General features: G+C 39.7%; 1 protein-coding gene across 8 annotated transcripts in view; it reads right to left on the bottom strand.

The window, feature by feature from the left end:
• The window catches only part of PLEKHM3 (pleckstrin homology domain containing M3), a 204,240-nt gene that overhangs the window by 112,038 nt on the left and 79,519 nt on the right, over positions 1-12,683 (bottom strand). The gene's annotated exons all lie outside the window — the stretch shown is intronic.

A 12,683-nucleotide genomic window follows, 5' to 3' on the forward strand; every position in this document is an offset into this window, starting at 1 on the left:
CCCACAGTTCAGTGGGAAAGAAAGACTTGGGTTTAAATATTTTATTTATCATGATTAAATATTTGTGATATTTAAATATCTTAAAATGAGGAAAAGACTGATGGTGTTTTGGGAAATGAAGTACAACCCACTTGAAACTGTTGCTGAAAAATGATGTATTGTACAATTCAATTAGTCTTTCTGGCTCTGTTGAGCAGTGTTTATATGGAGTCAGGGCCCTGCTGAATTAGGTTAACAATGCTACCTTTTAGTAGGTGAACAGAGCGACAGAGGGCACTGGCCAGTCTCCCAGGCCTTAAAAGGCTTCTCTCTTCAGGTGGTACTTAAGCCCGAAAGGAAGAAAAAAATCTTTTACAGAGAAAGTAAAAGCAGTGAGACAAATGGAACAGCAGCCACTGACATCAGTATTCATAAACTGAAATTACAAAAAACAAAAACAGAGCTCGTTTCAACCATGTCGGAGGCGCTGCCTTCACCAGTTGTTACTAGCAGTAGGCATATGGTGCACATCGCTACCGCTGCTGCCTGAGTACATGAACAAATCCCCACCACGTTCAGCCATTTTTGGCAGCAAGGCTGAGCACATGCACTCATTTTTGAGAATCAGCCACTAATAATCGGTGAGGGAATTTTTGAGAGAACTCAAAATCTGGCATGGCCTACTATTTTTGCAAAATAGAGCATTGTATCCCCACTGATTTCCTAAGTTCTAAATGACCCTCCACACTGGCATGAGGATTGTACTCTCAAACTCAACTCGAATTAAAAATGTTAAAAAAAAAGTTACTTAGGAACAAAAGCCAAAGATATTCTTAGGTGATAAAGTTTATGTGAGAAAAAGTTTTTTTGTTAATATAAATATTTCATGAATTATATGTGAACACTGACTATGTTCCAACTAAGAGCTAAGAGCTACTGTCCTACTTCTTGCCAACCAAACTATGAAAAACCTAAAAAGCCTGCTGCCATTTCTGATGTAAAGAAAAATTCAGCTGATAGTCAGGTGCAGATGAATGAGCTCAAATGAATGGTTTCGGCTGGCACTCTTTTCCATGATACCACTCCATTCACATTAGTATTAGTATTGACCTATTAGTATTTTACCAAATAATATTTAATATTTATTAATTATATTCCTTCTATTCATATGAACGAATTTCTTTCCATAGCTTTTGTAGCTTATAAACAGAACAGTTTAAGCTATAAGAACTCAACTCTGTGACAGTGATTGTGCTGCAGTTTGTGAACTGATTCTTTCTTCACAACCCTGCCATCTACATGATTCAAGAGAGATGAGAAGGAGGAATCCAAGAGGAAAGAGGCCTCCTCCCCTACCTCACATTCAGGAGGAGGTGGAGAAAATGGTAAAATCACATTATGATTAGCTACAAACTAACAATGATCAGATCTGCTATTTACACATATACATTTATAAGTAAACACATGTCACTTGATTTGAACATTATTAAGTGTCATCAGTATAGATTCGAACATAATACGACTTTTGTTACGCTAGTGACAGCCACTTCTTAAAAACAAAGTTCTTGAATGTTGTTCAGGTTTGCGTAATCCTGAGGGAGAGTGTTCTGGTATGCTCCCCCACAAAAATAGCCCCTGGTGATAACGTAATGGGGCAAAGGGAATGTTTAACCATAGATAGCAATTTGGAGACGACATGGTATTATGGTGGTGGTAGTGTGGACTTTGTTTTTATTAAAGGAGGAAAATGTATCAGAATAAAACACGAATAAGAAGGACTTGTAGAATAACAAAGACTAGTAAAGATAATCTAATTCAATTTTTCTCAGCTTGTGTTCCAAGGAACACTAGTCCCACAAAAAAAGACGTTTTAAGGTCCAATAAGATGTATGCCACACACCACTTTGTTTCCTTGGAGATTCAAAGTACAGCATGTTTGCATATTAAAACTGAGACATCTTGTACCGAAGAAAACCTGCTTAACCCAGCCACTTCTCAAAGCTATTTTACTACAGACAGGGCAGCTGTTGAGTGCTGCACATGATGCATGGGCGGTGGGAGTGTGGGAGATAAGATCCAGCCCGGACCCCCACTCACCAACCAGAAGAAAGGGCGTCTTTCTCTACCTTGCTGCATCCTCTTGCTAAGCTGTGAGTTTGCTGAGCTGTGTTCTGGAGGGGCTCTTTTCCAATTCCCATAAAGCTGGCCTAGCTGTGGCCCTCCTTTTTGCGTAACACCTACTAACACGAAAGAATTTGGTAATGCTCCATGGAATACACTTTGAGAAACACTGAACTAATCCACTGCCTGTATTTAATAGAAGAGAAAATTGAGTACAAAGAGCATAAGTAACTTATTTGTGGTCATGTCATGGTAGAATTAGAGCCACAACTCAGATCCCTGGAGACTCTGCTCTGTGCTTTTTAGCATTGTTTATATTCACAATTCTTATTTTTTAATAATGTTACCATACTCTATCAGCTTATCACTTCATAAAAGAGTTTTCCTGTCCCTTCTCCATCTTACAGCAAGTAGGCTACAAATGAAGACTAATCTATAATGTAATTAAGCAGGACACTGACATGTAGGATCCCATTTGATTTTAACTTTAAAATAAAACTGAAGTTCAATAACATTTCATTTATACAAAAGTTACTTATTTGTGCAATTTATTTTATTTTATTCTATTTTAGAGACAAGGTTTTGCTCTGTTACCCAGGCTGGCTGGAATGCAGTGGCATGATCATAGTTCACTGTAACTTCGAACTTCTGAGCTCAAGGGATCCTCCCACCTCAGCCTCTGGAGTAGCTAGGTAGGACTACGTGTGCATGACACAAGGCCTGGTTAATTTTTAAATTTTTTGTAGAGATAGGGTCTTGCTGCTGCCCAAGCTGGTCTCAAGCAAATCCTTCTGCTTCAGCCTCCAAAAGCACTAGGATTATAGGCACGAGCCACTGCGCCCAGTCTATTTGTGTATTTTTTTTACTGTCTTTCTCCTTTCACTGGAATAAGAGCATCCATAAGGGCAGAAACTATATCCCCAGTGCCTAGAACAGTGAGCACAATAAATATCCAATAAATACTTGTTGAACAAATGAATGAATAATTTACAATGCTCTGGCCACAACTTTGAAGCATACACTCTTGCTTTAGACATAGTTCCTACAGCTTGGTTATTTGTTTCTAAGTTCATAACATATTTAGAGTCCATAAAGAAGAAAAGATAGCTAGAGGCAGCATGGATACAACATAAATGACAGCTGACATCCTAGCACCAGGGGAAGAGAGGCACCTACAGGAAGCTACAAGGTGAAAACAAAGAGCATACGACCCTAATTGAGGGCAACTTGGCACTATCCATCAAACTCACAAATTGTACATGCCTATATCTAGGAAGTTATCTACAGATAGTTTTGCTTATCAATGAAAAAAAATTATATTCAATATTATGTAAAAAGTTATTCATTGAATTACTGTCTATAATAGCAAAAGACTGGAAAAATCTAAATGTCCACCAAAAAAGAACTGGTTAGATAAATTAGTGTGTGTGTGTGTGTGTGTGTGTGTGTGTGTGTGTAAATATGCATGTAAAATTCATGAAATATTTTAAAAAATGCAAGGAAGAGTTTTATTATCTAAATGGAAAGCTCTCTAAGCACAGGGTATATACTATATTGTCATTTTTGTATGAAAAAATACATGTACATAAAATATCTCTGGAAGGATACACGAGAAAGGAGTGTTTTGGTTGCCTCTGAGAAGAATGGGGTGAGTAAAAAGGAGATTATTTATGTATGTACGCACGCCCCCTTTTACTTTTTGAACCTTGAACTTTCTGAAAGTATACTGTATTCAAAAAAGAAGAATGAATAAAATATAGCAGTGCAAGGCATTTAGGGAAAAACAGCCTCACTTATCCCATTAAACTCTCAAGTTATCTATCACAGGACAGAACAATCATTTACATTTATAATTCTGGTCCAGGCACAGTGGCTCACGCCTATAATCCCAACACTTTGGGAGGCTGAGGCAGCAGGATTGCTTTAGGCCAGGAGTTTGAGACCAGCCTGGGCAACATAGCAAGACTTTGTCTCTACCAAAAACTAATTTAAAAATTAGCCAGGTGTAGTGGCGTGCGCCTGTAGTCCCAACTACTCAGGAGGCTGGGGTGGGAGGAATGCTTGAGTGCCAGAGTTCAAGGCTGCAGTGAGTTACAGTCATGCCACTGCACTCCAGCCTGGGTAACAGAGCACGACACTGTCTCTAAAAAAAAAAAAAAAAATTCCAAGGCATTAAAAAAGTTAACTTTTAATATACATTTTCTTAAATAAAATATGACAGTTAAAATTTATAAAATTATAAAAGTAATATAATCCCATTACTGAAAATTTGGAGAATAAAGATCAACAGAGGAAAAAATATCTATAATCTTACCACCGTAAAATAACCTTATTGCTTTGGTAAAACATTTCCTTCCTGTGTTTATTCCCATCTCTATCATAAAAATTCATAGCCAAAATCATAATAAAATCAATTCTAACGGTAATACTTCTTAGTCCTGTTAAAACAGTCAGTGGGCTAATGGAGGAGAAATTAGGAAACCTTCAGTTTAATTACAATTTGTTCTCAGAATCTCCAAATGACTCTGATCAAGAGGTTTTTCCCATCAGTGAGCTTTTCCTCAGCTCCACAAGGGCAGTAGAGCTTGCCTTGAATACCTCTCAAGATGTAGAAATAGGAAATGGTTTATGTAACATGGAAAACCCCTAGCTAAATGGAATGTGAATATTCAAGCTAGGATACAAATAAATTTTTTTAAAACAAAACTAAGGGGAACTATTTGGAAGAGTTAGGGTTGTTTGATTTCCTTAACATCTCTTTGCTACGCTTGATATTTTTGATTAGGGGGATAGGGAAAGTTATCTTCAAAGAGATTTTATTAGAAAATGGCTATAGAAATTGAGGATAGGGTTTAGCGCTTCCTAATCTTGGAGCTCAATTCAATCTTCAGTATAACACCAGAAAATAGACGAAATCCTGCTTTAAAAATAATTAGGATTATTAATACTCCAGAGGGCAGGCCAGGAAATGCTTAAGATGACAGATTTCATTCTGTTCTGCAAAACCATTTTTTTACTCTTTTAAATGGCTATTCAAGCCAGTCACGTACTTGCTATTAAGGACAGCAGGCAGATCTAACAGAACGATGTCTGGTCTTGGAAACTGATAGGTCTGAATTGATCCTCACAATTAGGAGAATTAAGTTAAATCCTGATATCTGAGAAAAGACAGCCAGACACTGGACTAAATGGAATATAGTTACTTAATGCCAATGAGAGATGATCCAGATAAAATCCACCAGGTCCACTTTTGCTTTAAAATCTTCCTTGGTCCACTAAGAACTTGGGAAGGAGTGGTCTGACAAAGGAGATTTTCCTCATGTGCAACACGGATGAAGCGAGTGTACCTAATATCTTCAATTGCCTAGCTATCCTCTCAAAATCAAATCTAATTACTTGAATGACCACCAAAACAAAACATCCTGCTTTACAGAGAGATTTTAAGTGTCAATGATGGCTAAATTGGTGATTTCTGTGACCTTCAGAGCTCACTGCAAACAGACTCGGATCTCCTCCTCCATTTCATGCCATCATCAACCATGCTTGCCTTTTCATTTTTCTTATTCAGTGCCACCTTTTCTGCTTTTGCTTTACTAATTGGTGTGTATTCTGGTGGCAAGTGCCACACGCCTAAGCTCTCAATGGATCACAGGGCTCGGATTGCCTCACTCACTTGCTCTCTATACACCTCTCATAGCTGTCAAAGCCCCGCTCCAAGCAGATTAATCCAAAACTTCTAAACCAAGCTCAACTATCATTCTTTCCCTCTAAATAAGTTTTTATCTAATACACACATGGCAAATATATTTATAGCCTATATTCAAAGTGTCAAGTACAAGAAGCAGAGGATAGAATGATAATTTTGTCTGGTAGAGAGGAAAGAAACAATCAGGAGAGGAAAAGAGGTTTTAAGCTGAGTTTTAGGATTTGCTGTTGTGGGTGAGGGCAAGAGGAAGACAAGAGGTGTGAAACAGCACGGTATGACAGGGAAATAGACGGATGGCTGTACTATTAATGAAGAGATTGGTGCTGGGAAACGGTTATGGATGAAGGAGCTAGGAAGGCAGGCAGGGACTAAGGATCACGAAGGCTAAGAGAATTGTATTTGTCCTGTATACAATTGTAGTCAAAGCTAACCATAACTGAGGGCTTATGATGCGCCACACCCTGTGCCAGGTGCTTTCTGTGAATCATTTAAGCAAACAGCAACCTTATGAACTGGGTTCTATTATTATTTCCATTCTAAAGGTGAAGAAACTAAGACTGAGAGAGAGTAAGAAACTTACTTAAGGTAAGATTAGGACTTTTCTTTTGAAATATACCAGCCAGAGAGTGATGCTTAAAGGCAGGAAGCGCAAATAGGAGGCTTCTGTCTTCCTTCATGTAAGTGATACTGAGGGTTTGAGTTAGTGTGGTGGGACTGGAGTACAGTGGAGAGCATGGCCTCAGGAGCTAAAATAAAGGCTTGGTTTTGCTAATTGCTTAGGCAGCGTAGGTGTGGCAGACGGAGGAGTCCAGGATGTCTCCCATATCTGGCAGTGGTGACTGTGGGGCATTCACTAAGACAGGTAATGTGCACTTGGGGGAACATCTGGTGAGTGTGATGTGATAAGGCCAATTTGGGAACTGTTGAGTTTGATGTTCCCAGGGGACAGGCTTCATTCTTTCATTCATTTAATATACATTCCTGCTTGTCTACTATGTGCCAGAACTGTGCTAAAACACATTCCGTGTGCCCAGAGAGCTCACCTTTATAGAGAAAATAGACAAGCAACTAGCTGTTATATAGATGTTATGATAATGAAAATAGTAACAGCTTCCATTAATTAAGTGCTTATCACAGTCATTTGCTAAGTGCTTTTCTTATATTACCCCAATTCACACAACTCTTTTAGGTAAATATGTGAAATTATGATGAGAACAAATTTGGTACACACTATGTGCTAGGCACTGTTCTAATCATGACACATGCATTAACCCATTTACCCAGCAGTAACTCTGTAAGGCATTAATATCCTCATTTTACATATGAGGAAACTGACACCAAGAGTCTAAATAACTTGCCTAGGTTAAACAGCTAACTAACAAGTCACAATGCTAAGACTTGAGCTCTGGCAGTCTGGGCTCGTTTTACAGATTACAAAACTGAGGCTCTAGGAAATTCAAGCAACTTGCCCCAACAAATCAAGCACCTGATAACAGGTAGAGGTTTTAACTCCAAGCTCCTGCTATTAATCCCTTAATAAGTGCAATCCTCAAGGGCCACATGACACGATGGTGGCACGAAGGAGAGAGCCAGCAATGCAGTCAATGGGGAATGGTGAGGAGCAACAAAAAAGCTGTCACCACGGAGGACATGCCTTCTTTAGCTCTCAAAGAATAAGCAAGGATTCCCTAGATGGATAAAAATATCTGGAGCACAGGTGGAAAGATGGTCACTAAACAAGAGAAGGGGTTCTTCTTTCTCTCAAGTTAGGAGGGAAAATAGGATAGGTACAAATATAGATAGATTTGTAGATATTCATATTCATATTTCATAACTTCATTTTTCTCCTTGAAGTAGGAGACAAGGTCATATGCTGAGAATACTTAGGAAGAGGCATCTTGAAAACAGTGAAGATTTGGATGATTATTGGGTAGAACTGGACACAGAGTTGCCCAGGGATATATTAGAAAAGGACATAAGCCAATTGACCACTCACAATTTTCATGTTTATTTTATTAGACACCAACGATTCCAGGTAGGTGACAGCTCTAGGGCCCTTTCCCACCTACTTGCTCCCAGGTAACACACTTACAATGAAAGTAAGTCTCAGACATCTGTTAGCAAGGTGGCATCAAAACAGACATACACACATAGACCAATGGAACAGAACAAGAACCCAGAAATAAATCCATGCATTTACAACCAACTCATTTTCAACAAAGCTGCCAAGGACCTACACTGGGGAAAGGACAGTCTCTTCAGTAAATGGTGCTGGGAAAACTGGATATTCATATGCAGAAGAATGAAACTAGACCCCCTCAGGATATACAAAAATCAAATAAAAATGTATTACAGACTGAAATGTAAGACCTGACAAATAAAATGACCAGAAGGAAGCATTGAAAAAATGCTTCAGAACATTGGCCTGGGCAAAGATTATTTGGGTAAGACCTCAAAAGCACAGGCAACAAGAGCAAAAATAGATAGGTAGGATTACATCAAGCTAGAAAGCTTCTGCATAGCAAAAGAAACAACCAATAAAGTGAAGAGACAATGTACAAAATGGAAGAAAATATGTGCAAGCCATTAATCTGACAAGGGATTAATAACCAGAATACATAAGCAACTCAACCCAGTAGCAACAAAAATAAATCTTATTTTAAAACGAGCAAAAGATCTGAATAGACAATTCTCAATAAACACATACAAATAGCCAACAGGTATGTTAAAAAATGCTCAACATCACTAATCATCAGGGAAATGCAAATCAAAACCACAATGAGATATCATCTTACTCCAGTTAAAATGGCTATTACTCAAAAGACAGAAAATAACAGATGCTGGTGAGGATGTGGAGAAAAGGGAATGAATGCTCAGACACTATTAGTGGGAATGTAAATTAGTACAGCCACTGTGGAAAACAGTATGGGAGTTCTTCAATAAACTAAAAATAGAACTAACATATGACCCAGCAATCTCACTGCTAGATATATAACCAAAAGGTGGTAGATATGGAATCAACTTAAGTGCCCATCAATGGACAAATGGATAATGTGGTATATATGCACAATGGGATATTATTCAGCCATAAAAAAGAATGAAATTCTTGTCCAGGTGTGGTGGCTCATGCCTGTGGGAGGCCGAGGTGGGAAGATTGCTTGAGCTCAGGAGTTCGAGGCCAGCCTGGGCAACATGGTGAAACCCTGACTCTTTTACAAAAAAATACAAAAATTAGTCGGATGTAGTGATGTGCACCTATGGTCCCAGCTAGTTGGGAGGCTGAGGTGGGAGGACTGCTTGAGCCCAGGAGGTCAAGGCTGCAGTGAGCCATGACCGTGCTACTGCACTCCACACCTTGAAAAAAGAATAAAATTCTGTCATTTGCAGCAACATGGATTCTGTCAAATGCAGCAAATTCTGTCAAATGCAGCAAATTCTGTCATTTGCAGCAACATGGATAGAACTGGAAATTAAAGTGAAATAAGCCAGCTCGGCCCGGTGGCTCACTCCTGTAATGCCAGCACTTTGGGAGGCCGAGGAGGGTGGATCACAAGGTCAAGAGATCGAGATCATCCTGGCCAACATGGTGAAACCCCGTCTCTACTAAAAAATACAAAAACTAGCTGGGTGTGGTGGCATGTGCCTGTAGTTCCAGTTACTCAGGAGGCTGAGGCATGAGAATCACTTGAACCTGGGAGGCGGAGGTTGCAGTGAGCCGAGATTGCACCACTGAACTCCAACCTGGCAACAGAGCAAGACTCCATCTCAAAAAAAATAAAGAAATAAAGAAGGCAGGCAGGCACAGACAAGACAAATATCACATATTTTCACTCATATGTAGGAGCAAAAAAATTGATCTCATGGAGGTAGTGAGTAGAATGGTGGTTACCAGAGGCTAAGAAAAGTAGGGGGAAGAGGGGAATGAAGAAAGGTTGGTTAATGGGTATAAAAATATAGTGGGAAAGAGAAGTTCTAGTATTTGATAGCATAGTAGGGCAATTATAGTTCATAACAATTTATTGTATATTTCAAAAATAGCTAGAAGAGAACATTTTGAATGTTCCCAACCCAGAGAAATGATAAATATTTGAGGTGATGGATATCCTGATTTAATTATTACACATAGTATGTATGTATCAAAATATTACATATACCCCATAAACATGTACAATTATTATGGATCAATTTTAAAAGCAGTCATACAGCCTGTTTCCATATGAAGCCCCTTGCACAGAAGGTACATTCAAGGCAGATGTCACAACATTCTGGCAGAAGGATCAGAAAAGCTTCTGGTCATATCAGGTAATTGAAGTATGTTATCTATTATGTGTGTAAGATGCAGGATCATAACAGAATCCTAAGCCTAGAGTGCTACTCCAGTAGGGAGTTAGATTCCTGGACTTGCCAAATTCTACTACCTTTTTTAATGCAAGGATAGAAATGCTGTACCATATAGGCCGGGCGCGGTGGCTCACGCCTGTAATCCCAGCACTTTGGGAGGCCGAGGCGGGCGGATCACGAGGTCAGGAGATCGAGACCATCCCGGCTAGAACGGTGAAACCCCGTCTCTACTAAAAATACAAAAAATTAGCCGGGCGTAGTGGCGGGCGCCTGTAGTCCCAGCTACTTGGGAGGCTGAGGCAGGAGAATGGCGTGAACCCGGGAGGCGCAGCTTGCAGTGAGCCGAGATCCCGCCACTGCACTCCAGCCTGGGCGACAGAGCGAGACTCCGTCTCAAAAAAAAAAAAAAAAAAAAAAAAGAAATGCTGTACCATATAGCTAACCAATTTATATATTTTGAAGACTACTAGGTTGAAAATAAAGTCGAGATGTCCAATAGGCAATTAAAGCCACAGATTTCAATTTTAGTAGCAAAACTGGAGCTGCAGATAAAAGTAGGAATTATCAGCATAAGAATCCTGGTAGTTAAAATGATGTAAGTGAGGGAGATGCCCAATAGAAAGACAAGAAAGTGGGAAACAAAATAATGAATCTTAAGGAAGCCCACTATTAAAGGTTTAGGCAGAGGACAAGAAATTAGAGAAGGTGATTGAAAAAGAAGAGTTAGAGGGAGGAGAACCAGGGGTGTGTTGTCAAAACCAAGGCAGGAGAATTCAAAAGGAGTATGGTCCATCTGGTCAAATAGTGTATCCTAGAGAAGTCCAGTAGAATAAGAAACTGCCAAGGGTCAACAGATTTGGCAAAATTGTGTTGGAGAAGAGACGAGATTTGGCAAAACTGTGATGGAGACGAGAGGAGAAGACCATGAATACAGGCAGAAGGGATAAACTTTCATATGACAAGTAATGTTTCTTTGGTGGCTGGAAGGAGGACAATGAGGATAGATGCGGATGTAGGCACGTTTATAGGTCAGTTGACAGGATTATTGCATAATCACCCCTATTTTCTCTACGAAGTAGAAGATAATGGCACTTCACAGGGTAACTTGGACTGGGTATTTCATCTCTTTAAGATCACAGATGCTGAAATAAAAGAATCTGATGAAAGCTACTGATATAAATGGAATACAACTTCAACAAGCTTCCAACATCACATCGAAGTACCTACTGGCCCCTATGGCTGCAGACAGCTTTTTTCTCTTATTCCATGCTCCAAGCAATAGCCAGACCCTCCTATTGTTCACGCAATTCCATCATTCTTACTGATTCAACCATATCATTCTAGCAATTCTCTCTCTTCTGGATAGTTTACACCAGCATAGAAAACATACGGTTATTTTTTCCATTAAAACAACAACAACAAAATCAAACCTAACTTGACCCCACTTCCCTTCAAGTTACTCCTGACTTCTCTTCTTCCTTTTATAGCAAAACTTCTCAAAAGAGTTGTCTATTCTTGTTTCTTGTTTCTCTCTCTCTATTCTATGTTGAACCCACTTCAATCAGACCTTTGCTCCCACCACTCCATTCAAACTGCTTTCATTAAGGTCACTAATTACCTTCACATTACTAAAGCAAATCGTCAGTTCTCAGTGCTCATCTTATTTGAGCTATCAGCATCTGTCACAATTCATCTGGAAACACTTTCTTCACGTGGCTTGTCAGACACCCTGGGATCCTTCTACCTCACTGCTCACTCCTTCTTGGCCTCCTTTGCTGGTCCCTCCTCTTGTCTCTAGGCTCCTAAGTTGGAGGGTCCCCGTGCTCACTTTTCTCCTCTATTGACCTGCATTTTGATAGCCACTAAGCCTGCTATTTATACTTCCTGAAGAGCCTCCTTGGCTGTTAGCAGTTACTTTGCAAAGCTATTAGCATATACCTGTGATTCTCACTTGCTCTCCTTTTTAAAAAACAGCAGTGCTGACAAAGGCCTGAGGATGGCTCAGTGTACTGTTCCTTACTGTTGGCCCCTAGTCAGAAGTCTTCACAGCTTCTCTCAAGGTTCTGGTTCTAGTTCCAAAGGCCTGGATTTGCTAGAAGACTGACCTTCACATGAGTAGGAGCGCTACTCTACTATAAGAAATATCTCGGACCACACAGTGGCTCATGCCTGTAATCTCAGCATATTGGGAGGCCAGGGCAGGCAGATCATTTGAGGTCACGAGTTTGAGACCAGCCTGGGGAACATGGTGAAACCCGTCTCTACTAAAAATACAAAAATTAGCTGGGCGTGGTGGCATATGTGTGTAATTCCAGCTACTTGGGAGGTTGAGGCACAAGAATCACTTGAACCCAGGAAGTGGAGGTTGCAGTGAGCAAAGATCATGCCACTGCACTCCAGCCTGGGTGATGGAGTGAGACAATGTCTAAAAAAAAAAAAGCCGACACAAACAAATGAACAAAAACAAAACAAAACAACAAAACAAACAAACAAAAGAAATATCTTGGATTATATAAGGCCTTGCCTAGAAAGATCA

Source organism: Homo sapiens, chromosome 2, assembly GCF_000001405.40.
Source record: "Homo sapiens chromosome 2, GRCh38.p14 Primary Assembly".
Classification (NCBI taxonomy): Eukaryota; Metazoa; Chordata; class Mammalia; order Primates; family Hominidae; genus Homo; species Homo sapiens.